This window comes from Homo sapiens, chromosome 1, assembly GCF_000001405.40.
Source record: "Homo sapiens chromosome 1, GRCh38.p14 Primary Assembly".
Lineage (NCBI taxonomy): Eukaryota > Metazoa > Chordata > Mammalia > Primates > Hominidae > Homo > Homo sapiens.
In genome coordinates, this window is record NC_000001.11 from 34,899,542 (window position 1) to 34,926,014 (window position 26,473).

At 50.1% G+C, this 26,473-nt stretch overlaps 1 protein-coding gene across 3 annotated transcripts in view, besides 1 other annotated feature; it reads right to left on the reverse strand.

Moving 5' to 3' along the window:
- The window catches only part of DLGAP3 (DLG associated protein 3), a 64,215-nt gene that overhangs the window by 34,106 nt on the left and 3,636 nt on the right, over positions 1–26,473 (reverse strand). Inside the window, exons 1-6 of one of the 3 annotated variants that reach the window (XM_011541879.3) lie at positions 26,178–26,317; positions 25,833–25,941; positions 7,814–7,896; positions 4,736–5,893; positions 527–732; positions 128–200 (exon numbers count right to left, since the gene is read on the reverse strand). In XM_011541879.3, the coding sequence (XP_011540181.1) occupies positions 128–200; positions 527–732; positions 4,736–5,842 (1,386 nt within the window). In that variant the 5' untranslated portion in view covers positions 5,843–5,893; positions 7,814–7,896; positions 25,833–25,941; positions 26,178–26,317. Of the gene's footprint in view, positions 1–127; positions 201–526; positions 733–4,735; positions 5,894–7,813; positions 7,897–25,832; positions 26,318–26,473 lie in introns of those variants that run through there. The other 2 variants (XM_047426631.1, NM_001080418.3) reach the window with 2 other exon arrangements.
- Positions 8,136–8,336: a silencer, noted in NCBI's record as "peak171 fragment used in MPRA reporter construct". NCBI's record gives its function as "represses an SCP1 promoter by STARR-seq MPRAs in K562 erythroleukemia cells {active_cell/tissue: K562}" and the evidence as "EXISTENCE:reporter gene assay evidence [ECO:0000049][PMID:32103011]".

Below are 26,473 nucleotides of genomic sequence, written 5' to 3' on the forward strand. Positions count from 1 at the left end.
CCAGTTTCCCCAGAGCCAGGCCTGAGCTCTCTCCACAGGCAGACCCTCTGATTTTAAGTCCTAAGCTGAGCATGGGACTGAATCCCTTTTTCACTCTTTCCTCCAGGCATACTGGGCCTCTCCCTACCTGTCCAGTGGTGAGGGAACGGCTGTAGCCAGGGATGGAGCTCCGGGGGTGGATCCGGGGTGGGACACAGCAGCTGGAAAAGGGCAAAATTCCGGAGTCAGAACAGTGGACTGCTAGGAGGTGGGGGAGGGGAGATAATAGCACTGGGGCCCCTGAGTAAGTCCTATTCCTCAGAACCCCCAAAGAGAGATCCCTTAGGAGACCCTGGGTAAAGAGACTCCCAAAGAGGCACCAGAGAAGGACTCCCACCAAGACCCTCCCTTTACATGGAGTGGAGTGAGACACCCCAGTTGAAACCTAAGCAGGACTACCTGACTGGCACCCACTCTACACACATCTCCCGCAGGAGTCCAGCATCAGCCTCCTGACCCCGCACCCCCCGGCCCTCCCTGTCCTTACTTGATCCTGGCCTGGTCCACGCTGGAGGAGCGACGGGTGGTGAAGCGTCGGGCGACTGCTTTGGGAGATGTCTTGGGGCTGCCGTCTGAGTCTCCGCTCTCCTCATCCCCCATGGCTTTGATGTAGCTGCCGCTCCGCATCCTGCGGCAGGGGATCTCCCCATCCTTGCCACCGGTGGGGTAACCCCCCCAGTCATCTTGCGGCACCTGCAGGAACAGGGGTCTCTGTCTCTCAGACATGACCCTAGTAAATCTAGAGGCCAGGACTCTTTCCCCACTGCCAGTGGGAGATGCCCTGCCCTGGCTTGAACAGGCACACTCAGGTACATGCAGAGGCAGAAGGGGAGGTAGGGTCTCAGGCTGTCCCCGTCCCTTACAAGAGACACCTCGTCATCCTCCACAGACCTTCTGCACTTAATTAAGGGCCACCTAGAGAGTCTGAGGGAGTGACATGGCAGGCGTCAAGCGGTTGATGATCAGAGGCCAAAGTGACCTGTGTCAATCCCATGCCCAGCAGTCAGGCATCACCTGACCTCAGTCAACCTTCTACCCCTCCTTCTCCTTCATCCTTTCAACCTGCTTACATTCCAAATCCTCTCTCCTTCCCCGCTGTGGGGAGCCACAGAGGGCTTCATGCAGGGGAGTGACATCAGATTTGTGTTGCAGAAAGAGCTCTCCCACAGTCCAAACAGAGGCTGGATTGTGGAGGGCCAGGAGCAGGGCAGAGGCTCAAGTGGCGAGAGGACGACCAATTAGGAGGCTGATGCTGTTATCCAGGCAAGAGATGATGAGGCCTAAATTAAGACAATGACAATGAGGGGGAAGAGGAGGAGATGGAAATGAGAGGTGTTAAGGAGCATCAGTGAGCCTGATTAGACGTGGGGGATGAGGGGGCGGGAGGAGTCGAGGATGACTGCCAGGCTGCTGGCTGAGGACCTGGGGGAGGGTGCTGCCGCTCACTGAGCCATAGAACCCCAGAGAAACAAGTCTGGGGAAAGGTGGTAGGGTCGGGGTTGAGCACCTTGAGCTTGGCATAGAACTGTTGAGCAGGTGGTTGGATGTTTGGTTCTGGGATTCAGTGGGGAGATCGGGGCTGGAGGCGGACATGTGGGAGTCATGGGCGGCAGCTGAATCCATAGCAGTGAATGAGACAGCCCAGGGGAGAGAAGAAGAGAGATGAGCAGAGATCCACTGACATTTAAAAAGGGACTGTGAAGAAAGGAAGAGGAGCCTGTGAAGTCACCTGAGAAGGAGTGGGCAGAGGGGTAGGAGGGAAGTCAGGAAAATGCCATGTCATAGAAACAGGAGACATTTCAAGAATAAAAGGAGTCGATTATGTCAAATGCCACAGTGCGTTCAGAGGTTAGTAACTCAGGCTCGGGAATTAGAAGATCCATGTGCAATTCTGGCCCCATCACTTGCTGGATAGGTGAACTTAAGCAAAACAGATTAACCTCTAAGTGTCAGTTTCCTTGTCTGCGAGTTGGTCATGATACTTATGCCTACATCAGAGGGTTGGTGGCAAAGATAAATGAGCCAATAGAGAGTTTCCAGGACATAGAAAGTGCTCAATAAATGGTAACAATTATTATAGGCACTGAAAAGTAGCTTTTGAAGATAGCGCTCAAGAGATCATCTGTGGCCACTGCCAGGACATGTCAATGACAGGGAGTTTGGAAATCAGACCACAGTGAGGGGAGAATTGAAGGGAAGTGAAGAGTAGGTGTCTATGCTCTAAGAACTCGATTATGAAGGACATGGAAGGTGGGATGGGGCTGCAGAAATATTTTTTAGGATGCAAGCGACTTTGGACATGTTTTCAGAATGATGGAAAGAGCCAGTAAAAATAGTCTTTAAACCTCAGAAGGGAGAACAGTTCAGGGATGGAGGGGGTCATGATGAGATGGGATCAAGCCCTGGAAGAAGGATCGGCCTGGGATGGGTGGTCCCAGCTTTTCCTATGAGCCAAGGAAGGGGACGAGGGTGGCTGGGAATTTGGATGCGTCTAGAGAGATGCTGTCAGGAAGCTGAGGGAGTCCGTGATGTCAGCCTACACTTCGGAAAATGAGGTGTAAGTGAAGACGTGGGGGAGAGGACTGGGGGAGGTAGGGAGGATTTAAAACACTTGTGTAAAGAACAGGTTAAATGGGGTAGGGATGGGAGCTCCAAAAGGGGTAACGCCTCAGGGACAGCATAGGGTTCAGGGGAAAGGTGGAGACTCTGGGGATGAGATGGGGTCCCTTGAAGGAACCCACGGGCAGGAGCAGGGCTCTTCAAGGGGCTAGGGCTCATTTGGATGATGGGAAACAAAGAGATGAGGCTCCATAAAGAAACAGGGGCTCAGAGTGGACAGAGGGATCCTGGAAAAGGCTTAAGAGAAAGCTGGTACCCAGTGGGAGAAACAGGGCTTTGACAATCAGATCGGGAGTCCAGCAAAGACACCTGGCCTCATGGGGCCAGCCTCCCCTGCTTTTGTACCAGGGGAGTGCGAGGCTGTCTGGAGGGTCCCTATAGCCCTTTGGTTCTTCCCCACATGGGCTCAGACTTCCCAGTCCTCAGATGCCCTGGAACTCCAGACCGGAGGGATCATTCCCCTTCCCCATTCTCTACAGAGAGCAGCAGGCAGGTGGAGAGAGGCAGGCCAGCAGATGGGAAGGCCATACTGCAGGGTTCCCATTCTAGCCACTGCAGAGCTCCTCTGCAGGACACTGTGAGGTGCATGTTAAAAAGGAAGCCCCCAGGGAGGTCAGGGCAGCCCTGAAGCAGCAGCAGGGAGCAGCGAAATGGCAACAAGTCTTCAGGGATGGCAAGGAATCGGCTATGGGGGAGAAAGGATGGGTGCTGCCTCCCTGCACCCTGCAGTTCCCAGCTTAGAGCACCTCCCTACCCAGGGAGGGGGCAAACCAGGCCAATCCAGAAGTCCCTTCTTGCTTGCACTGTGGCCCTATGTGCTCCCTTGGGCCTTCATGAGTTCTCCAGGAGAGCCCTAACTTGTGTGCAACTTACCCAGCAAGGCCAATGCCCCACAAAGACACACACAGCCTCTATTCTCCATACCTTTGAACATGCTGTATAGTCTCTTCCCAATACACGTTTAGCCAGCACTCAACAACTGCAACTCCTCCACTGAGATTCAGCTCAGGGGACATTCCTCACCCAGGTCAGTGAGGTGTCTCCTCTGTGTTCCCAAGATGCCCAGGGCTCTCCCCTATCACAGCCTCATCACACTGTATTCTATCTGCTTCCTTGTCTATTCCCACTCTACACTGTGAGCTCCTCACAAGCAGCATCTGTATCTTCATCTTTGTATCCACAGCACCCAGAAAACGCTCATTGAATAAATAGATCTGTATCAACTATGTCGAATGCGGAAATACACTGGACCTCCAGAACTTGTATTGACTTTTTCTCCTAAAATTACGGCAGGACTTAAGAAAACGATGTGGGCTGGATGAGGCTGGGGTGAAGGCTCCATAAAAAGTAGGAATCAGAGTTCCTGGCCTCACCTGCAGAGACCATAAATGTGGTAAGACAAGATGAGAACAGCATGCCAGCTATCACCTGCACCATCCACTCCCGGGAGGCCCTGCCTGAATTGTATCAGGGCTGAAACCCAGTTTGTCCCCCAGCCTAGGAAAACACATGAGACACATGAAACTCCCAGGACCCCTCCACAGCTTCGGCTGTCCCACCACCGGTACCCCGGAATGACAAACCTCAGCAGAGGCACATTCTAGAAATAACTGATCTTCATATTCAAACATGTGGGCCATCCGGATTATAGCAGAAAAGAGGGCTGGAGAAGGCTTTGGGGCAGGAGAACTGCTTTCCAACTGCCGACCTTCAATCTTGAGAGCAGCTACAACTAAGGTGCACCTCTCTATCCTGTCTACTGCCTGCCCTCAACTTCATTATGCCTCCAACCTCCGAAGACAGATATCAGCACAGCCTGTCCAAAACAGTAGGTCAAGGGAAAATCTCTAGGGACAGACACATCATTAGAACAGAAGGGCCCCTTCATTGCACAAATGGGGAAAGTGAAGCCCCAAAGGAGCTCAGAGTGACCCAATGGGGCAGGGCAGAGCCTCCCTACACCCAGGCCCTCCATCACAGGGACAGCTGGCTCCCACCCAACCCTTTCCACTGCTCCCTAGTTGACAAGACTGGTGAAGGCTAAGGACTCTGTTCCCCAACCCCAAAAAAGCCTCACCTGCAGATAGTGATAAGTCCTGGCTTTGGCCTTGGTCTCCGGACCCAGGAGCCCCTTGCCTGGCCCGGCCCCCGGGTATCCATCCCGGCCCTGGCTGACCATCATGGTATGCCAGGCACTTCGCTTGACCGACTGTCCATCCAGTGACATGGACATGCCAGTGCAGGCAAGGCAGCGGCCTTCCGACCCGCCCGAGCGCCCCTTGAAGCTCAAGTCCCGGTAGGACCCATCTGGACCCTCCAGGCAGAAGGGACCACCAGGCTCCCCAGGGGGCCTCCCACCCGCCAGGAAGCCGCTATCACTGTCCAAGTTGTCATCGGAACTCCACCAGCCTGTGGACTTGGCCTGGTGCCGCCCATCCCCCTTGCGGTCCTTGCTCTTGCTCCTCTTGCCGTGCCGGGACTGGTGGTGGTGGTGATGGTGGTGGTGATGGTGGTGATGGGAGGTGTGGGGGCCTCCAGAGCCCGGGCCGGGGTAGCTGTCTCCTCCAGAGCCACCTCTTCCCTCAGCCTTGGGCCCATTATAGTCCCGCTTCCCCGGCGCCTCCAGAGAGTGGGACTTGGCAAAGAGCTTCTGCACAGAATGAACCAGGTGCCGGATGCGGCTAGGGCTCTCACTGCGGGGCTCTGGGGCAGTGCCCGTCCCTGGCGCTGGCCCGGGCCCTGCCCCTGCTGGCCCTCGCTGGTATGGTAGTGTGTGGAAGCCATCTTGTTGAACTGGCAACTGCTTTTCAAACTGATCCAGGAGTGTAGGAGGCAGGCGGGGGGCACCCTTGCCCTGTGGGTGGCCCACACAGTCTTCACAGGTGTCGAAGGGGCCCTGGCCAGGGTACATCCTGGGGAAGGTGCTGCTACCCCCCCCAACCCCGGCCCCCGCTGGCCCTCCCTCAGGGCCTACCGACGGCCCCTCACTCAGGCTCAGGGGCCCTTCAGGAGAAATGTGTCCCAGGCCAGCTCTCGGGGCACAGAAGCGGGGCTCGGTGGAGAAGGCCTCCCTGGAGCCCAGCAGGTATGGGGCCCTGGCAGCAGGGCCCACGTCCATATGCTGTTGGTCAGCAAAGCGGGCTGGGCGGGGATGGCTGCCTCGGTCGCCATGGTAACCCCTCATGGCCTCAGCAAAGGCTCTTCATAGTCTTGGGGGCCAGGCCCCAGGAACCTCCTGGAAAAATAGGGAGAAAAGGTATTTGAATTGAACAGCCCTCTTCACCTAAAACCATCTTTTATTAGGCATCCTTGTATCCCTTTAGGTAATACATATCAATTTATTATGATTAATCACACTACCCTCCCACAAATGGACTAAAAAGTCCTTTAAATGGTCATAATAGACATAGACACTCAAGGGCACAAAATAATCCCATCATTCAATGAATACTGCAAATCTGATAAATACTTATTCACAAGAGGATATTCCCTCAGTCAAATGGGTTTTTAAATGTCCTTAGAGACTGGGCACAGTGGTTCACACCTGTACTGCTAGCACTTTGGGAGGCCAAGACAGGAGGATCACTTGAGCCCAGCAGTTCGAGATCAACCTGGGCAACCAAGCAAGACCCTGTCTCTACAAAACAATTTTTTAAATTAGCCAGATGTGGTGGCATATGCCTGTAGTCCCAGCTACTTGGGAAGCTGAGAAGGGAGGATCACTTGAGCACAAGAGCTCAAAGCTGCAGTGAACTATGATTGTATTATACCAATGCACTCCAGCCCAGGCAACAGAGCGAGACCTGGCCTCTAAATTTATATATATATATATATTTGTTTGTTTTTATATTTGTAAATGTATATTAATAAATATTTATAAATGCATATATATTTTTATATACACATAGAAATATTTTTATATATACATATATATACACATTTATGTGTAAATATATAGATATACTTTGGGATGTGTGTGTATGTGTGTGAATATGTCCTTAGATTACCAAAAACAAAAGCATACCCAGGGAGACATAAAATAGTCAAAGAAACCAGTCTTTAGGTGAACTAGCTTTTAACAAGCTGGCATTAGGCAAATAGATCCACAGCCACATCTCTACTCCAACCCTGCCCTACACCCCACTGTTGCAAGAGCCAGGCCTCAGGGTCACAGCTCCCAGCTGCTGTGAACAAAGAGAACACTGGACCCAAATCTACATATCCAGCACCATCCCACAGAAAAATTCCTCCCCTTCCTTCCACACCCTGTGCATTCCATCTGGCTGCAGGCTCATTCTCCCTCCCCTGTGGACTGAAATAAGGAGAATCTGAGATGACTCTTCCTCCTTCCTCTTCCGGGTTCCAAATATTTTCCCTATGAAATTACCCCTTTTGCCTTTTACCCCCACCCTCCATTCCCATTCCACTGGAGGGGAATCATGAAGGAGGAAAATCCATAAAGAAGAAGAACAGCGGCTACACACAGTAGCATCTGAATCCTAAACTGGGATTGGAACCCAGGAGTTCCTCCTCCCAGGAACAGAGGGAAGGCAAGGCAGGAAAGTGATGGAGAAAAAACTCTGGAACCAGTGCTCCTGGCCCCCATCCCAGACTTGCCAAGGCTACAGGACAGAGAGGTCAGCTCTCAGCAAGAGCTGCCTCCAATCAGGACTCCAGGAGCTGCCAGGATAGGAGCTACGGCAGGAGGGAGTGACAGCAGGAGGGACAGGGACAGAGGAGCTGGCAGACGGTGCCCTCCCTCATCCTCGACCAGGCTCCTGGGCCATCTGCTGACTAGGAGGGATGACAGCCTCAAAGGCTCCAGACAGCAACACCTCCAGGACTCATTCTCTTTCTCCCTACCACCACCTCCCCACACCCACCTTTCTTCCAGATCCTGCTCACCCCTCATCTCCTACTATTTCCCAAGTACTCGCCATATACCAGGTATTGTGCATACCTGATATTCTCTAATCTTACTGAAATCTTGTAATGCAGGTATTATCCACACTTACCCATGAGAAAATTGAGCTCAAAACGTTGAGGTCACAAAGCCAGTAAGTGGATGAGTCACTTTGAATCAAGATTCAAACCCATTATTCTGGTATGAGAACCTGAGTCTAATCCCCATCTCCCAGACTCTTCTATCACTCACCATCCAGGGTGTCCCATCCTTGATGTCAGGATCCCCACCACCAGGCAGAAGCCTAACTTCAGAAGGCTCAGGACCACTGAATCCTGATGGAAAAGAAAAGGATGGTAAGCAAAAGGGGAGAGACGTTTTCCCACAGTCCTCAGAGGACCGGTCTCTGGCCCTGACAGCTTCCCTTCCCAACTCCCCCAAACCAGGACTGATTGGATCCCCCATGATGCAGAGCCTTTGAACCCCCAGGGAAATGAGGTTGGCTTCATTATGCAAATACATTCAAATGAGCTTACAGGTTGGACTATCTCCAACTGCAGGTGTCTGTGGGATCTGTCCATGGTGCTGAGCCACTGCGTTGTTTTTTCTTTTTTTTTCCATTGCCCTCAAATATGATTCCATTCCACAAACATTTATTGAACAGTTACCATAAGCAAGAGAGTGAGAAGTGTATAGAGGTGATTTAAGAGTGGTCCCTGTCCTCGAGGGGTTTATAGTCTAACAGGGGAACAACCTCTCACGTGACAGAGTTATTTCAGGCCACTTTATTTTTGCACTAACTCTTCCCTCCTCCTAGAATTTCCTTTCATCCACCTCAAAGCCCTCCCCCTGGCTAAAACTTACTCATATTAAGCCCCACCTTCCCTTAAAGACTTTCTGTGCTCTTATTCTAGGTTATGCTCTTTATCGGGCTTTTATAACACCCTGGGTGTCCCCATGAAAGCAGCTATCACACTGCATTGAAAATGTCTGTTTCGGTTTCTATCTCCTCACCTAGAATGTGGTCTTCTTCAGAATAGGAACCAAGTCCTATTCATCTCTGGATCTCCAGCACCTAACTCAGGGCTTTGCCCAGGGCCAGTCCTTAATAAACACTCACTAAGTAGATGAATAAATGGCTGTGCTGGAAAGAGGTACCAAAATGTTAGGCTACGTCAGATGAGAATGGGACAAGATTCAATAGAGGTCAATCAAGGAAGACTTCTCAGAGGAGAGGATGTTTGTGATGGAGTACAAGATGTCTGTGTGTCCCATACACATAGGTGATGAGGAAAAGAACCTACCCAGTGGAGGAAACAACAAGCACAGGGAGAAGAGGTGTGCAAATAGGGAATTCTAAGGGGTAGGCTCAGAGAGTTCTGGCAGACAGGAAATGGCAAATAGTGGGAATAGGAGAGAGAAAATCAGAAAGGAAGACGACTCTGAAGTTTGCAGCAGCCGTGACTGGAAGACTAATGATGTCATTATTAGACACAGGGATGTCAGGAAGAAGAGCTAGCTTTGCAAGCGTGATTAATAGTAGTGGAAGAGGCACAGTCAGACATCAGGAAGAACTTCCTGACCCTGAAGGATGTGAGACAATGAAGAAGACTGTGGTTTCCTAGAAATCTTCCATAGAGGACAAGGTGAGACATACCCAGCCCCTGGCCCACCCTGGAGCCTGGACTGTAGAAGCTGTTGGTTACCCTGCCCAAAGAGAGACTAGGGTGACCTCACAGATACCAACTGCCTGGCTCTAGATGACAATTATCTTCCATTGCCCTTCTTTGGGGAAACAGAGGGAATATCAGATCAAGATAGCCTCTCAAATAGTTGTTGAAAAAGCACCTGGAAGCATCTCTCTGCCTTGGAAAGAAGACAGAAAGCCTGGTCCTTCATCCATGTCATTCTCTTCCCTCTTCCTGCCCCAGGCAGGACCCATATCTGAGACTCACAGCACAAAAGGCCACTTTGGCAGAAGCCCAGACTATCCCATTTGCTCTGTGCATGGTGACATCAAGCTAGAGCCTCACAGAACTTCCCAGGGGTGGACATTCCCAGGTGCCCCTCTGTCTCCTGCTTCACACAGGTGCTGCTGGCAAGCTGCTCAGCTTTCATCAAGATCCTATGAAACTTCAGCCCCTCTGGCATCAATCCATGTTCTCCTTGCTCTTGTCTTGGAGAAGATGGGCCCTATAATTGCTGCTCTCCAGACAGATCACCCCTCAACTCCTTTACCCAGATCCTACAGGGAAGCCCTGTATAGTGGAAAAGCACAAGTCCTGAGACCAGAACGTATGTGACACCTGACGTAGCAGAGGCGGCCTACCCTCTCTAAGCCTCAGGACACCTGCTCACCTATCTCCCAGGATTTCAATAGGTATCAAATAATAAAATCACTCTTACAAACTCTAAAACATTAATACATGTAATCCCTCATGAGAAGCCTTTCTTTTGGATTTACAAAATCCCCAGTGTCCAAATAGTAAACAATATAATCAAATCCAAATTACTGGGAGCAGGAGATATCCAATTTATGGATTTTCTAAAGAAAATATTTAATTAACAACTGGCTTCCTCCTATATATTATGCTTTATGATCACATTCCTCCCCCCACATCACCCACCTTCACTCCATTACTAAACAAAATCAATGGGAGGGAAAAACAAGTGAGGAAGGGACTAATAATTCAATCCACCACCATGCTCTATGGATTTTGCTTCCTAAGAAAAAAAAACAGATGTGCCTTTTATTCCACATCCACCAAATCACTGTTGGCTGACTCGCTAAAATTCATTCCCAGCCTCCTTGTCCTTATCTTGGCCTCCTTTGTAACTAGAGGCCACATGATTCCATTTTGGCTAATGATATACACATGGAAGCATGATGAGGGTTTCTGGGAAAGATTTTGCCTTTGTGACCAAAGGGGTAGGAATTGCTAGTGCCATCTTTCCTCCCCTTATTCTTGGCTTGACTACAACCAGAGCTAGGGCCGCTATCTTGCCACCACAAAAGGCCTAGAGAACTGCAGAGATGTCAGTTCTGGCATCATCGGGCCATGGAACCAACATTAACAGTTGCTTTACTCCAGGTCTACATGTGATAAGGAATGCGCTCTTTATTTAAACCACTGTTGGCCAGATTTCCTGTAGTATTTGCAGCAGAAAGCACTGCTAACGAATCCAACTGTTCCTGAGAACACCATCTCCTGCCTGCATGTCTGCACGTCTTCTCCTAACTGGTCTCCCTGCTTCCGTTCTTACCCCGCTCCAATCCAAATGGTCATTTGAAAATGCAAATCTCATCATGTCACTTCTCTGCTTAAAACTCTTCATTGGTTTATTGATGTTCTTAGGATAAAATGCCTTCGCTTGTCCAACAAGGCCTGCAGGGTCTGGCCCTTCCTACTTTTCCAACATCCTCTCACAACATGCTCCCCTTGCTTTCTCTGCGGCAGCCAGGACAGTCTTTTGTCAGTCCCATGATCCCTCACATCACGGGGCCTATTCCCCCTGTTGGGAAAGCTTTTCCTACCCACCTCTGCCTTGCTAACTCCTACACACCCTTCAGATCTCAGCCCAGTTGTTGCTTCCTCGGGGAAGCTTTCTCTGGCCTCCCTGACTAGGTCAGATCCCCCTGCTGTTTGCTCTCAAGGCACCATGTACCTGTCTCTTATATTGTTACCATTTTAAATTTGTGTGACTCCTAGATTGTCCATCTCTCCCATTAGAATGTAAGCTCCACATAAGTGCAGGAATTTTATCCATCTTATCCACTGAATTCTCCCCAGTCCCTAGAACAATGCTTAGCATATGGCAGGCATTTGTTGAGTGAATGTGAGTCTACAAAGAACAAGATGCTTTCGTTTATGATATTTTATGTGATTCCCACAACTATTCCAAAGGATAGATATTATCCACCCCCCCCCCACCACCTTCCAGTGTACAGAAGAAGAAACTGAGGTTTGGAGAGGCTAACTGAGCTCCCCAAGGTCACACCGAGAGCTGTTGTCAAAGCCAGAAGTCAAATCCAGTGTTGGCCGATTCCAAAGCCTTAGCTTTTCCCCTGTCTGTGTTGCCAGCCCAGAGAAGTCAAACTTATTCAACGCCATTCTGAAGTGGGCACAGTAATGGAAGTGAATATGTTTTTTTAAAGCAAACAAACAAATAAAAAGACCTCATCCATACATATCTCCCAGAGCTAACCAGAGTGTGATTTAGCCTTTTCCCATGTGTGGTGAGCACTGAGTTTATACCAAGCCCAAGGTCAGATTAGTATAGAATAAAGGATGCTCCCTGAAGTCCTATGACAATTCTGGGTGCTGGTGTTATTTTCCCATTTTTATTGCACCAAATCATCCATCCACTATCCCAGGACACAGAGAGCTGCCCGAATGGTGAAGCTGGGGGCCGACGGAAGCAGCCACTTTTGCAGTAGCCTATGGCTGGCTGGAAAATGGTGACTGAAGGAGTCTGGGAGGGTGCCGTGTGTGACAAATTCTTCTCTGATGCAGCTCGAATCTATCTGGGAATGGAAGAAGTGGCACAGATGCCGTCACCAAGAAATTACCCAATTTAGCACCAACTACACAATCCAGCAATTAGTTTCTTAAACCGGAACTTGCTGGGGGCTGCCAGGCTGGCAGGGTTGTTGTTACAAATCTCACTGGGAAACCAGCTGTGTAATTCGCCAGGAGGTTGTCACTGCCCCAAGCAATTACCTTCCAGAAAAAGAAGGAAAATGGGAGAAGGAGTCAGAGTGTTTTCTCTCCCTCTCCACCAGGGCCCTGCCCAGCCAAATCAGTTGGTTTTCCTTTCTTGAGACCTAGGCAAGTCACAAACTCTCTTGATTAAAGCAGTTGTTGGTGTGGACTCTGTCATCAGACTCTGTGGGCTCAAATCCCTTTCCACTCACTTACTGGCTGTGTGTACTTGGGTAGGTGATTCACCTCTCTTAACCTGTCTCCTCATCTGTAAAATGGGGATAATATTAGGGCCATAATAAAGGTATGAATGATGTAAGGTTTAACAAGGTAAAGCATATAAATCCCTTAGAACTGTCCCTGGCACATGATAAAGACTCACTAACGGTAGCTATCTTTATCATTGTTTCCTCCATTGGTTTACAGTGTGATATTGGGTAGGTCACTTAATTTCTCTGGATGACCATCTAAGACGAAAGACACTCACCTGGGGAAAAGATAAGGTGTTCTCACTCTAGATTGTCCACATCTGGGTACCCAGAGATCCAGGTGTGTTTGACAAAGACCAGTATCTCAGCATTTGGCACAAAGTGATGCCTTGGGCCAAGATGAAGACTTCAAAAGTCAAATTTTAGCCAATTCACTCCTTCCCCAGGAAGTTGTCTGGGAGAGCTACAAGCTGGACATGACGATCCAAACAGCAGCAAAATGTTAAGAGTTGTTCCCTTGTGAAGGTCAGCCCTATCCAATCCCCTCACCTGGAGCCTATGAGATCATCCCCACACCAGTTCCAACACAGCAGAACTTCCAGCAAGTGAGGCCTAGAATTCATTTTGCTGCTGTTGGCCTGGCTCCTCCATGCCTGTGATAAGCCATGTGTGTCCCTGGGATCCCACAGTTTTAGGCTTTGTCTACCCACTCCCTCTCCCTGTGTTAACCAACCAGTATAGACAGGATTGTGCCTCGGTTTCTCTGTCCAGCCCTTCACACTGGGAGCCCTAACACAGAGCCTCTGACCTGCAGCTCATACCCCTGATTATTCAACTGTGCCCATGGATAGGCATCCCTCTGCCCGCTCCGGCCCAGCCCCTTGTCTCTTCCTGCATCCATTTCTGACTGAGCCCCCCTGACTGATTTGACACTGGCTTTGCCCAGATGCCTGTGGCAGGATCTCTGTAGTTGGGCTGGTGTCCTAGTCCCTGGCCTCCCTCAACCCCACTAGCCAGCCCTGTTGCTGAAGACTTGGCATGCCTTGTATCCAACCCCACTCCTTAGGACCCCAAGGGAAATCACCTCCTTTTCCCCTCACTGCCCCAGAAAATGGAGAAGGAAGAAGGGGGAACAGAAAGGAAGGAGGAAGGCTTGCCGTTTTATTCATTCATCTTTATTACTTTATTTAATCAACTCTTCCTAGGGGCTTAGGGCAGAAATTTTACAGAAAATGGGTTTACAGCTCCAAAACACTCGAGCCATTTAGGCAGATACAAGTCTAAATCCATCTCCTGACCCACTGGACGGTGCTCGGCCTGTGAATAACCCACACTACCTATAATCTCTTTGAAAATCCCACCTCAGGGGGCTTTGCACTTGATGTTCTCTCTGCTGGAACACTCTGCCCCAGATATTCCCATGGCTTCCTCTGCCTCGGAAGAGACAGAGAGGCCTACCTGATCACTCGCTCCAACTAAAGTTGAGCTGCAACCCTGGGTATGTTCTATATCACCTGCTTCATTGCCCTCAGAGCACTGATTGCCCTTTGAAATTATTTTCTTTGTCTATTGCGTGTTTATAGTATGTCTCCCCATAGTAGAATATAAGCTCCAGAAGGGCAGGGACTGTGTCTGTTTGTGTGCTGCAGCATTTTGAGTGTCTAGAACAATGCCTGCCACTAAACGGTGTTCAAAAAATACCTATTCTGTGAATGAATGTTTTCCCTTGCTGCCCTCACCCACTCTGCTCCTATGTACAACGGCCCACAGAAAGGACCTCCACTCCTTTCTCTTCAAAGGCTTTGGAGAGTCCTGGAGAATCTGGTATTAGAAATCCAGCCTCTATACCCAGCCTTGTTCATGATGTTTGTCTAGCCGCTCTGCTTAGCAGGTAAAGATGGTTCTTTTCCAGTTGCATCTAGGTCTCCCCCAGATATGTCCCTCTGCATAGCTCAGGGAAGGTCGTGGAGGGAGAAGGGAGAATAAGAAGGAAAAAGGTGGCCCTCCCCATGCTGCAGAGAGAAAGAATGAGGCACAACTTTCAGGGATGGGCTGCAGGAGCAGGGTTCGGGGTCTACCACCCAGCCCCACATAGGTCTCTTCACTCAGACTTGCTGGGCCCCAGCTCCCTTCCCAGCTAGGGCCATGTACCCAACAGGCATTGGAGGAGGTTCCTCCTCCTTCTCCAGGGCTGCCATAGGCCCTTTGAGACACAATTCAGCCTGATCAGCCTCACTCCTTCATGCCCCCTAATTGCAGGCATGGCCAACTGCTTCCAGCCTTTTCTCAGCTATCTCTTCCTTTTCTGTCAACTGAACCAATTCTTAGGCTGTGCTGCCTTATCATTTCCACTTTTCCCCTCTCCTGAAAGTCTCCAGGGGCCTTCTTTGGAGAAGACTGCACACTGCTGAGAGAGAGGACTTCTAGGACCAGAACTCCTCTAGGACCCGAACTCCTCTAGGACCCTCGTTAGGGGCAGCTGGTGAGCAACTGTGGCTTCTGGGTCTTAAGCTAAACTGTTTTGAGTCCATATCCCAGGTCCACCACTTACTAGACGTGTGGCCTCAAGGAAGCCTGTTTGCCTCTCTCAAGTTCAGTTTCCCCATTTTCAAATGGGAGCAAGAGTAGTCCCTTTCTCATTGTGATGTTACAAGGACTAAGATAATGCAGGTAAAGTATCTAGCACAGTGCTAAGGGTTAGCTATTGCTAACTAGGGAGAAACTACTTAAATGCATGAGACTTGGAGACAGGGAGAGGATCTCTAGACAGCTTTGGGCAAAGGCTGTAACTATCCATACATGACTTGGTTTGGATCGGAAATGGGTGGTCTGAAAACTCATCTTTTTCACGCATGCAGGAATTTCTGTTTGCCTGGGCTTCTTTTGAAGACCTCCCACACCCTAAGCGTACCAAAGACAGCAGAGCAAAGACCTGGTAGCCAAAGATGGTGGCACCTGAGAGGACTAGAGGACCTTGATTTGCAGACTCCCACAAACCCCTGTAGCCAGGGTTAGTGGTCTCTCTTGTAACTCCAGGGATCTGGAAGGGAAAGCCAGCAACCTCATAGCTGGGTATTGGAAAGCCAATCATCCACCTCCATCCATTATGTCACAACCTACCTTTATGCCCATGAGCAATTTGTGTTATCTGCCTGAGCCTCAGTTTTCTCATCTGTAAAATGGGATCACAATACCTACCTCCTTAGCTTGCGGCAATGAGTAACTAAGCTGACCTATCCAAAGAAACTGCACATATGTCTCTATATGTTGGCTTCTTTTGACTTTAGCACCAAAGCACCTTCTTTCATTTGTATGTGATTTGGACTCGTGCTGCCCTAGCTTCCAGGATGCTCTACACCTGAGCCTGCCAGGGCCATCAAAGAATAGCAGGTAGGAGCCCAAGCCCATGGCAGGGGTCCACTGGGCAGGAGTTACTCAGCCTGGCCATACCAATGACCTTTCTTACTCTCTGGCCCAGGCATCTGGTCCCCTCTTGGTGTCCAGAGCTTGGGACAGCCTCCTGGATTAGCACACTGTCCCGTAAGCTCTCTGTGTGAGCTGAGACAGGGGCTTCTAGCAACAAGGCCTGAGCCCTCCTTCTGAGCCTTTCCCACAGGAGAGTCCAGCACAGGAAGCCAACCACGAAGGCTGGCTGGTTGGCTGACTGCCAGGTTCACGTCGTGGCACCTCCCACCCCTCAGCTCTGCCTGAAACCCTGCCTGACCTTCAAGGATATCTATACCTCTGCTCTCTCTGGGTTTCAGAGAAGACAGCCAGGAGCTAAGGGACACAGCATGAGAGCACATAGAAAAGGCAGCTCAGACTGCAAAACCCCTGTCCTCCCAACCTTAAACCCTCTGCTGCTGCACGGGTGTACTCTCTTCCAAGAGGCCTTCCCCTAAAATTGCCCTCCCATCAATCCCAGGACACCACAATTGCCAGCTCCTCTTGGGTCTCATACCTCTATTCCCCACAGTAGGGTAAAGAGTTGTTTGTAAGCTGTGAGTTCCTTGAAGGCCAGGATTCAGGGGATCTATCTCTGTATGAACACACATGGCATACAGTAGGTGCTCAGTGAGTTCAGGGTCAGCAACTGAGCCATCAAGGAGTGCCCCACAGCTAAGGCATAGAGAAACAGGGAGAAACAGGGGAGAAAAGGAAGGCGATGACTCCCTGCAGCTGGACCAGAACTCCCCAGCAGATAGAACCGCTACAGCATGATGTGGCTTTCCTAAAGAGGTGGGAGTGTCCCGTCCAGGGAGGCATGCAAGCAGAGGTTGAGGACTGCTTTGCAGGATGGTACAGAGTGCATTCAAGCACTGAATACATTGAATACATTTCAGACCAGACAACCTCTGGTGCCTTTCAACTCTGAAGTCTAAGGTTAGGCTCCTGAATACCTACAACTGTCCAGACCCAGTGTTAAGCGCTTTAGATGTTTTTCTTCATATAATCCTCACAACTATCCTTTGCAGTAGGCACTATTATTACTCCCATTTTACAGGTGAGGAAACTGAAGCTTAGAAATGTAAAGAAAATTTCCCAAGGTCACATAGATGGTGGAAGAAGGATTTGAATCTGAGTCTGGGTCCAGGCCTGACCAAGGCCTAGGCTGAACAGAATACTTTTATTTTTTATTTTATTTTATTTTATTTTATTTTATTTTATTTTATTTTATTTTATTTTATTTTATTTATTTAGAGACAGAGACTCGCTCTGTCGCCAGGCTGGAGTGCAGTGGCACGATCTCAGCTCACTGCAACCTCTGCCTCCCAGGTTCAAGCAATTCCCCTGCCTCAGCTTCCCGAGTAGCTGAGACTATAGGCCCGTGCCGCCACGTCTGGCTAATTCTTTTTTGCATGTTAGAAGAGACAGGGTTTCATCATGTTGGCCTGGATGGTCTCGGTCTCCCTGACCTCGTGATCTGCCCGCCTCAGCTTCCCAAAGTGTTGGACTTACAGGCGTGAGCCACCGTGCCTGGCCTCAGAGCACCTTTAAAGTAGCATGTCTCCCTGACCAAACTGGTCTGAGGAGGCCAATAGGTGGACCCCAGTGTGCCCTTTCTCATCACTCAGCCTCAGGAAACCTTCCATCTCTGTCATCTCTTCCTCATACACAGCTATACACTGCCCCAAGACTGTTCATTCACAAATTAACAGGTGTTCAGCCAGAGGCAAATTACACAGCCACGCAGTCATCCATACACAACTTACGCAGCACCTGACCTCATCTATATAGTCACTGTCACGCTGTATACCCAGACCCACACAAACTTGTTCCTATGAGGGTTCATACACCTCATGTGCATTTCCATCCGATAGATCCTTTTTCCTTTTTTTTTTTTTTTTTTCGAGATAGGGTTTTGCTCTGTCACCCAGGCCGGAGTGCAGTGGCACTGTCATGGCTCACTGCAGCCTTGACCTCCCAGGCTCAAGCAATCCTCCTGCCTCAGCCTCCCAGGTAGCTGGGACTACAGGGATGTACCACCGTGCCTGGCTAATTTCTTATTTTTTTGTAGAGACAGTGTCACTATGTTGCCCCAGCTGGTCTTGAACTCCTGGGCTCAAGTGATCCTCCTGCCTCGGCCTCCCAAGTGCTGGGATTATAGGCTTGAGCCACCGTGGCTATCCATCCAATAGACTTTGATGTTTGTGTGCATAGAAGCTGCACAGATACAAAACCTTAAATACATGTCCACATGTTTATCCCCATATGACAGAAATACATGTTCATTTCACAGCATTTAGGCACCCACATCTGCTCAAGGTCATTCATTAAATCCTCCCCAAACAAGAACTTTATCCATTGTTCCCAGATCCAGTACTAGGCCCAGGTGAGCCATGATGCTCCTTCTCTCTGGGGTTGGCCAGGCAGTCCAGAGAGGGGAAGAAGGCTCAGCCTGCCTGTGATGGATGGAATTAATCTACTGAGCTGGAGAAACTAAATAATTAAATCCCTAATCACCCCCCAAGCCAGCCCAGGCCAATATAGCTGAGGGAGGGAGGGGGCTCGGAGGCCCAGACCAATATCCTAGAGAAAAGGAGGGGCTTGGGAAATGAGGCACAGGCAGAACCCTCAGAGGGGGGGTCTCTCAGAGGAACTCTGCCAGCCAGGCATACAGACAGACAGACAGACAGGCATGGTTCTCTAGTGCCACAGGCTCCCTTTCCATGTGGAAATGAAGCAGCTTGGGAAGACAGCCTGCCACCATCCACTGACACAGGGAGAGAGGAGAGGCAGAATCCTCCTTCCACCCTTCCGAAGTCCTTCCTGCCTCACCTCGAGGTGTGCCCTGGGGGTCTATGGGGATGGCAAGCAGGACCCTTACAGTGCCCAGGGTGGAGGCAGACAAGGGGGTCTGCTCAATGCGGAGCTGATGTGGTCTCAGCCAGGCCTTGGCCCACCCCTGCCTCACTGAGAACAGACTCAGCCTGGTGCAGATGGCAGGGGAGGACCCCTCCACACAGGTTCACCTGCTACCCTTAGGAAGTGGGTCCAGCACGTGGCTAATAGGCTGAGGATGGGGCAGAGGCCCGGGCAGGGGGGCTCAGGAAATCAGCCGGGGAACAGGCCCCAGTCCGATTGGCTGAAAAGTGGGTCATTTTCCTTTTGAAAAATAGTGAGAAAATGGAGAAGTAGGTCGGGCTCTTATCCCCTCAGCCCCAGGCACCATCCCCGACTTGAGGGGTAAGGAGAGAGGGAGACGCCTGAGCATGCCAAAGCCCCATATACCCTAGGACCCTGGCCAGGGCCCCACAGTGCAGGAAGCCAAGGTCATCATTACTCAGGACATCCAAGGACATGCACACTCCGAGGCCAGAGCTGGAACACCAGCCCCACCCTGCCCCAGGGGATCTGGGGTGAAAGGAGCTAGGGCCGGGGCCAAGCTAGAGGGGTGGGGGCTTCCACCCGCAGGACCCTGAAGAGCCCCTCCCATCCTCGTGTCTGCTGTGATGCCTCCTCTCCTCTCTTCTCCTCCCTTTCCTCATCGTCCACGTGGGCAGAGTCGTTGCCATGACACCGCGGGCAGGTGGGCGGCTCTGGCGGCTGTTTCGGCCCAACCCCCATGCTCACAGCCCAGGTGGGAGGGGAGCGGCTGCAGCACCCTGGCCCCTAGCCCAGATGAGAGAGGAGAGAGGCAAGAGGCCCCCCTTCACCCCTAGAGCCTGGAAGGGGCTCTATCACTGGCCTCTCGACCCAGCCCCATGCTTGCAGGTCCGGGGGAGGAAGTGTCAAAGAGGATCTTAGGCCTTGACCACTCCCCTCCACCAGAGGTCCCTGGAGTGGCATGGGGTGGGGCAGACCCCCAACTCCCACTTCCTCCTTTTCTTAGCAGCTGTCCTCCCAGCTTTCCCCACATACTATGCCTTAGTCTCTTAATGCTAGCAGCTGATTGGTCCTGCCTGAGGTTTAACCTCAGTTGCTCATTTTGCAACACAAGCTCAATTCTCCATGCTCTCTTGGGAGAAAGGAAAACAACCAGGCCGGGTGCAGTGACTCATACCTGTAATCCCAGCACTTTGGGAGGCCGAGGTGGGCGGATCACTTGAGGTCAGGAGTTCGAGACCAGCCTGGCCAACATGGTGAAATCCCCATATCTACTAAAAATACAAAAATTAGTCGGGCGTGGTGGCAAGTGCCTGTAATCCCAGCTACTCAGGAGGCTGAGACAGGGGAATCGCTTGAAAGCAGGAGGCAGAGGTTGCAGTAAGCTGAGATCATGCCACTGCACTCCAACCTGGGTGACAGAGTGAGACCCCATCTCAAAAGAAAAGAAAAGAAAAGAACAAAAGTTGAGACACTCAGAGAAATTACTCCCCTACTGCCAGACCAAAAAATGTGTTATACAAATGGGGACCCCTTCCTCCAGGTCTCCCCATATACCTGAATTCACATCACAACCCTGGGGACAAATCATTCCTAAGTCCATACTTGGCTAAGGCATCCACACCACCAGGGTAGAGGACCAGAAGTGGAGCAGGAGAAGAAGGGAAGAGGTTGGGGCCAGGCATTAGAAGCTGCCTAAGTATGCTGTCCCACCCCCACCACATCTGGCTTCAGGAAGTCTGGGCCATGCCTGAGCTCTCCATCTCTGAGCTCTCCGCAGCCATTCCCCTTCTCTCTACTCCTCTCACAGTCCACGTGCCTCTCTCCAAGTGTCTCTAAGTCTCTGTCTGTGGCTCTGACCTCCTAAGACCGTTCCCTTTGTTCAAGACCTGGCTCCCAACTCCTGTTCCCTATGGCAGGAGCCCTGCATCACTGACAGGGTGGAACCACAGAGACCCCGCATGGCAGCCCTCTGCAGCCTGGCTGGCAGGAATGAACATACATGGGATATTGGTGACAAGATCCAAAAGGAAGGGAGAACTGCAGTTGGCATTAGCTGGAGGGTGTCCAGCCTGTCATGAGGTGTTCATGACATACATACCACACATACACATAAAGACACTTTTACTTTCCTCCTTAGCCTTCCCCTACTAAAACAGCAGATGTGATTAAAGTACAAGCACATGCATGTACATTTGTGCATGCATGTGTTTGTACATTGTGTCTCTTTTTCTCCACTCCCACTGCTGGTGTTCTACATCAGGCCACTCTTATCCTAATTGCTCACCAAAGCTATGACAACAGGTTCCTAACTGGTCTCCCTGCCTTGCATCTTGTTCACCTTGATCCTTTCTCCTCACTGGCTGCCGGCTAGCTAAAATTTCTTTATTCAACAAATATGTATCGACTGCCTACTCCAAGCTGAATACTCTTCTGGACACTGTAGATACAGCAATGAACAAAACAGATGAAGCTCCCATGCTCATGAAGTTTATATTCTAGTGGAAAAAGAGGGATGATTACCAAATATATAAAATAATGGTGGTGGCAAGTACTGAGATAAATAATAATAGTAATAATAATGGAGTGAGGAGATAGAATGACAATGGGCTATTCAAGATAGACTGTTGGGGAGGTCTTTCCAAAAATGTGACTTGAGCAAAGACTCGGATACAGTGAGGAAGTGAGTTGCCTAGAGAGCATTTCAGGCTGAGGGGAAAAGCAAGCGCAATTGCCTCCACAAGGAACTGTGCTTTTTATGAAACAGAAAAGAAACCCACGTAGGAGTGGCCCCTGAGATCCAGGAGGTAATAGGGGGCTTTGCACACGTAGCACTCACGTTGCTCAGGACGCACTACACTTTGGATTTCACTCTGAGTGAGATGGAAAGCCACTGGAAAGGCAAGACCTCATTTTCCTCTGGCTGCTTTTTGGGAAAGAGTCTACGGAGGTGGGGCTGGCAAGGGTGGAAGTGGGAAGACCATCTGGAACATTTCCTGTCACTGAAATACCTGTTCCCACAGTTGCTCACCTGGTAAGCACCTGTTCAACTTTTAAACCTCAACTCAAAAGCCTCCCCTTCTATGGATCCTTTACCAAACCTTTCCCTTCCTCACTCCAGAGCCAACCTACCTCTCTTTAGGTCCCCACTCCCTCCAATGAACACTTATGTGTGTCTACCCTCCTTAACACTCTCCTTATTTGGTTCCAGGTCCTTTGCTCTCCCAAGATTGCAAGTTATCTGAGGTCAAGGACCATCCCTAGTGCCCAGCACAGCATGTGGCAGATTAGAGGCATAAAATACATGCTGGTTGAATGAATGGATGCATTGGGTGAGGCACTTGCGATGGGGAAGGGTATGTTTGCAGGCTATTGTTAACCCAGATGAGTGAGATGCACATATATATGGCCATAGGTTGTAATCAGACAAGTGTTAGCATATGCCCACATATTTCTGTAAATTCTGTTCACAAGTATACGTGTTAGCATGTATGTGCATGCTGACAAATCCCCGTGTTGGTATAGACACTCCTGTAGATTTGTTAATGGATGTGCATGTTAGAAAGTGCACCTATGTTGATATATGCCTATTATGGCACAGACAAGTAATATGCACATGTACCTGTACACGTGTATTGTCACATCTTGTATGTATGAGGCTTATGCATGCACTTGGGCCCCCCTCTTACTCACTACCCCTTTCATCCACTAGGACCAACTTGTTGAATTTTGAAACTTCTGTAGCAATGCCAATGTTTAAGCCCTGATCCTCTTTCCCCACATACAGCCCTGAGCACCATAGCATCTGAACAGCCTGGAGCCTGGATTTCTTACTTGGCTATCCCCAAGGCCTTATAGGTTTTCCCTCCACAAACTTCTTTCATATGATGGAGAACAGTTGGCTCCCAAGGACATAAGAATTTGAGAGACCTCAGGGAGCCTACTTTCTGGAGAAGAGCTACAAGTAGCAGGGTGATCAAGCTCAAGCTGTTGGGAAGACACTTTTGGGTAGCCCAATGTTCAGTCAGAATCGGTCTCTCTCTTTCTTACATTTATTCACAGGTTTGCCTCAACTTGTGTACATATATTCATATGTGGTTGATACGGTACGTATATGCATGCCCCACATACATGCTCACATGCATGCTTACACTCACACAAAGGCATTACTGGATAAGCACACCACACACACACACACAGACATGCACACATTGGTTTAATTCAGTAATTTCCTTCACATTCACATATATACATGAATGCATACATAGAGTCATATATATATACACACATCCACACTTATACAAATAGATGTGCTTATACACATATACACAGCATACTCACATATACTTATGTACATATACACAGTCATATACTCACTCACAGGCAGAAATACGCATGCATGTGTACTGGAGTCCCAGATCTTGCAGAGATATCCAGCCCCTCCCCTGGCTTCTATCCTTCATATTCTCTCCAAGTACATCACAAGTTTGCATTTGCTCTCTCCTCTTGCTAGTCTCCCACTTCTCTATTTGGAAAGTTGTTCCTGTTATCAATGAGATATACCCACTCCTGGACACATCCCATTCCCACCCACTCTCAGTGGGAAAAAATCGTCATTTTTTTTTTTAAAAGGGCCCTGTCATGTCCTCATCCCATGCCTAGAGAAACGAGTATTTCCTCAGACAACCTGGGTAGGAGTAACAATAAAGTAGGTGTACCTCTTCAAACCCAGGAGACAATCCCCCCGTATATGCAACCCCTTAACTCTAAAAAAGAAAGAACGAAAGAAAAGAAAGAGAAAATATCAAGGCCAAAATCCTTCCTCCCAGCACCTCTGGGTAAAGGTCTAACACTCTCAAACTCCAAAAGTTACTGGGGCAGAGGAAGAAATAGTAAGGAAATTAACTGTGGGTGCTAAAACCTCCTAGAAAACACCCCTTTTCTTCCCTAGAGGGGAGCTTCATGATCAGTGAATCCCTCCCTTCCCAGCCTGTGGGCCCTACAAGGGAGAGGGTAGACCAGGAGGCTTAAAAATGTAAAGGTGGTGACCTGGGCTCAAATAACAAAAGAAGCAAGTATTTTGAAAGCAGAAGCTGGGAAGGGAGCAGGGAGGCAAGCTGCAGACACCTCCTGGCAAGGAAGCAGCTGCTGGAACAGTGGATCAGGAAGAGCAGGACTCTCTAAGGGGCCAGGGAAAAGGGGGTGGACATCTAGCATTTCATGTGGGGGTGGAGGGGTGACTGCTTCAGGCAGTAGCAGCAGATCCAAAGTAAAGTCTTATCAAAGCTGTTATGTAACCAAGGGAGCTGAGTGGAGCACAAACACCTCCCCTCCCCAAACAGGCACCCACACCCACACCCACCACCTCCCAGCACCCACAGCAGAGGAAAACTCAGCTCCTCCCAAGCAGCTAGAGAAGGCAGGAATCATCTTGATGAGTTACATCAAAAACATGATGGGTGAGGGGCTCCTTATGAACTACAAGTCACATGTGGGAAGGGATCAACTGGTTCAGTTTGAGATCCCTAGATACCTCTCCCTTTTCTTGAACTCCCTGCCACACCCAATTTTTGCCCAGTATTATCTGGAAACTGTCTCCTTCCTCCCCTCACAGGGAGGATCCCATTTGAATATTTGATTGTGCTCTTGGGGATGGGAAGTGAAGCCACCATCATCCCTTCCTGCCTGTTGTTCCCCTACAGACTCATCTGCATGTCCTGACATTTGGCTCTCATCCCCCTGGGATGACAAGGGAAGGGACCTTAAGAAACTCCTTGCTCTATTCCCTTCATGGTTACAAAGACAGTGCATAAGAATACAGATACTTGAAATGACCCTGACTCTAAGCCATAAGGAGAAAGATATCCAAGAGAACTAAAGACTGAAACCCAGACCTCATCCCTCCATTTGAATATTTTTTACTCCCCCAGATCTTCCTCTTTTCCCACTGCCCTGTCTCCAGTAGCCTCCCCCTTCTCTTCTCCATGGCACTGAACAACCCCACCCACTCCTTGAATCCTTTGCTTAAAAATCTTCCTCCCCAACAAAAGTCTCTCCCAAATGCTGCTCTGAGCTAGGTTTGGCAGTGGGCAGAACACAGGACAGGCTTGCAGAATATTTCAGTGTCCCTGTCCCAAATCCCAAAGTATGATGGGCAAGGGAATATCAAGTTGTCAGTCAAGTTATCCTGAACTCCTGAGCTGTAACCACCCCACACCTAACCAGGAAGACCGGCGTTCTCTTAATCCAGAACCACCTTGAGCCTGAAATTCTGGGACCCAGTAGGTGAAAGGCTGGTATCAATATCTCTGAGCTTGTTGCGCTAAAAAAAAGTTCCCAGGAGATGAGATCTCACAGGCACAATATCATTCTCCAACTCTACCCCGATAATAACAGTACAATGGTTTTGGAAGGGAGAGAGGGAACTGAAACAGCAAAAGGGGAGAGGGGCCCCTTGGGGGAAGGGTTCCTAAATACCACTAACAACTGTGAAACCTAAACCATAGGGAGAACTCCAAATCCATATTTCCATCCATGCCCTTGGAAAGTGGGTCATCTGGGAGAATTTTTCTAGTGAGCCCTCCCCACTGCCCTCCGCCTTTCCACCATCGGGACCGAACGAAGCCTCATTCAGCACTCGGGACAGCTCCGAAGGAGCAAATCCCCGCCGAATCCCACTCAGCACCCGGGACAGTTCCCAGCGACATTGCCGGCCCCGGTAGCCAGAAACCCAGGATGCCAGGAAGGAACAGGTTTACCCCACCACACACCCCCTTTAGAACAGAAGCCCCTCTCCCCTGCCCCTCCCACTGTCGCTCCCATCCACCGGGGGCACCTGACAACCCCCCCCCCACCTTCCCTCTATGTCCCAAGAGAGAAAAGAAACCCAGACATGGGGCTTCCCTGAGGGAACCTTGAGAGAGGACCCCACCCACCTTCCTTCAGCCCAGAGCCTCTCAATGCCACTCACAGCTGGTTCTAAAAACCACTTTCCTTCTTAACCACCACCCCAAAAATAAAAGAAATACTCACGTGGGGGCTCCCAGCCCTGCAGACAGATGTGGTGGGGGGAGGCAGAGAGAGGTAGCTCCCCACACCCTGTTCTGAGCCCCCTTTCTGAAGGAGCCAGCTCCCATCTGGACTGGGGGGAGGAGAGACATGTGGAAGCACTGAGTGAGGGGAGGGGAGAGGGGAGAGGGGAAGAAGCAGGAGCGAGGGACTGCGGGGCGGGGGTGTCGAGATGGGGGCGAGGGAATCCTTTTTAATTTCATTCTCTCCCCATGTCTACATCAGCCCTGCAGGCTCAGCTCTTTAATATTTACACACAGGAAGAGGAGAGGATGAGAAAGAACAGACAGTGAGGGGGGCAGGGGCTACCTGAGCTCAAAGGGCATAGAAGCAGGGGCCTTTGGGAGCTGGGAGCTTGGGCCCCCGACACCATCCCCAGCCCACTTCCACTCTGAGCTCTTAACTGGAAGGAAGAAGAAGGAACCCTGGGACCATTCTGTCCCTTTGTTAACAAGACACTTTGAAGCTGCATCAGAAAAAGATCAGATCCCCACCCACATACCTGGACACCCCCACAAACCCAGATTTCTTGGGTGCCTTATGTGCAGATGGTAGAGACAGTATTCAGGCACAAGCATGTTCTGATGCTTGGAAGCATGTTTGCC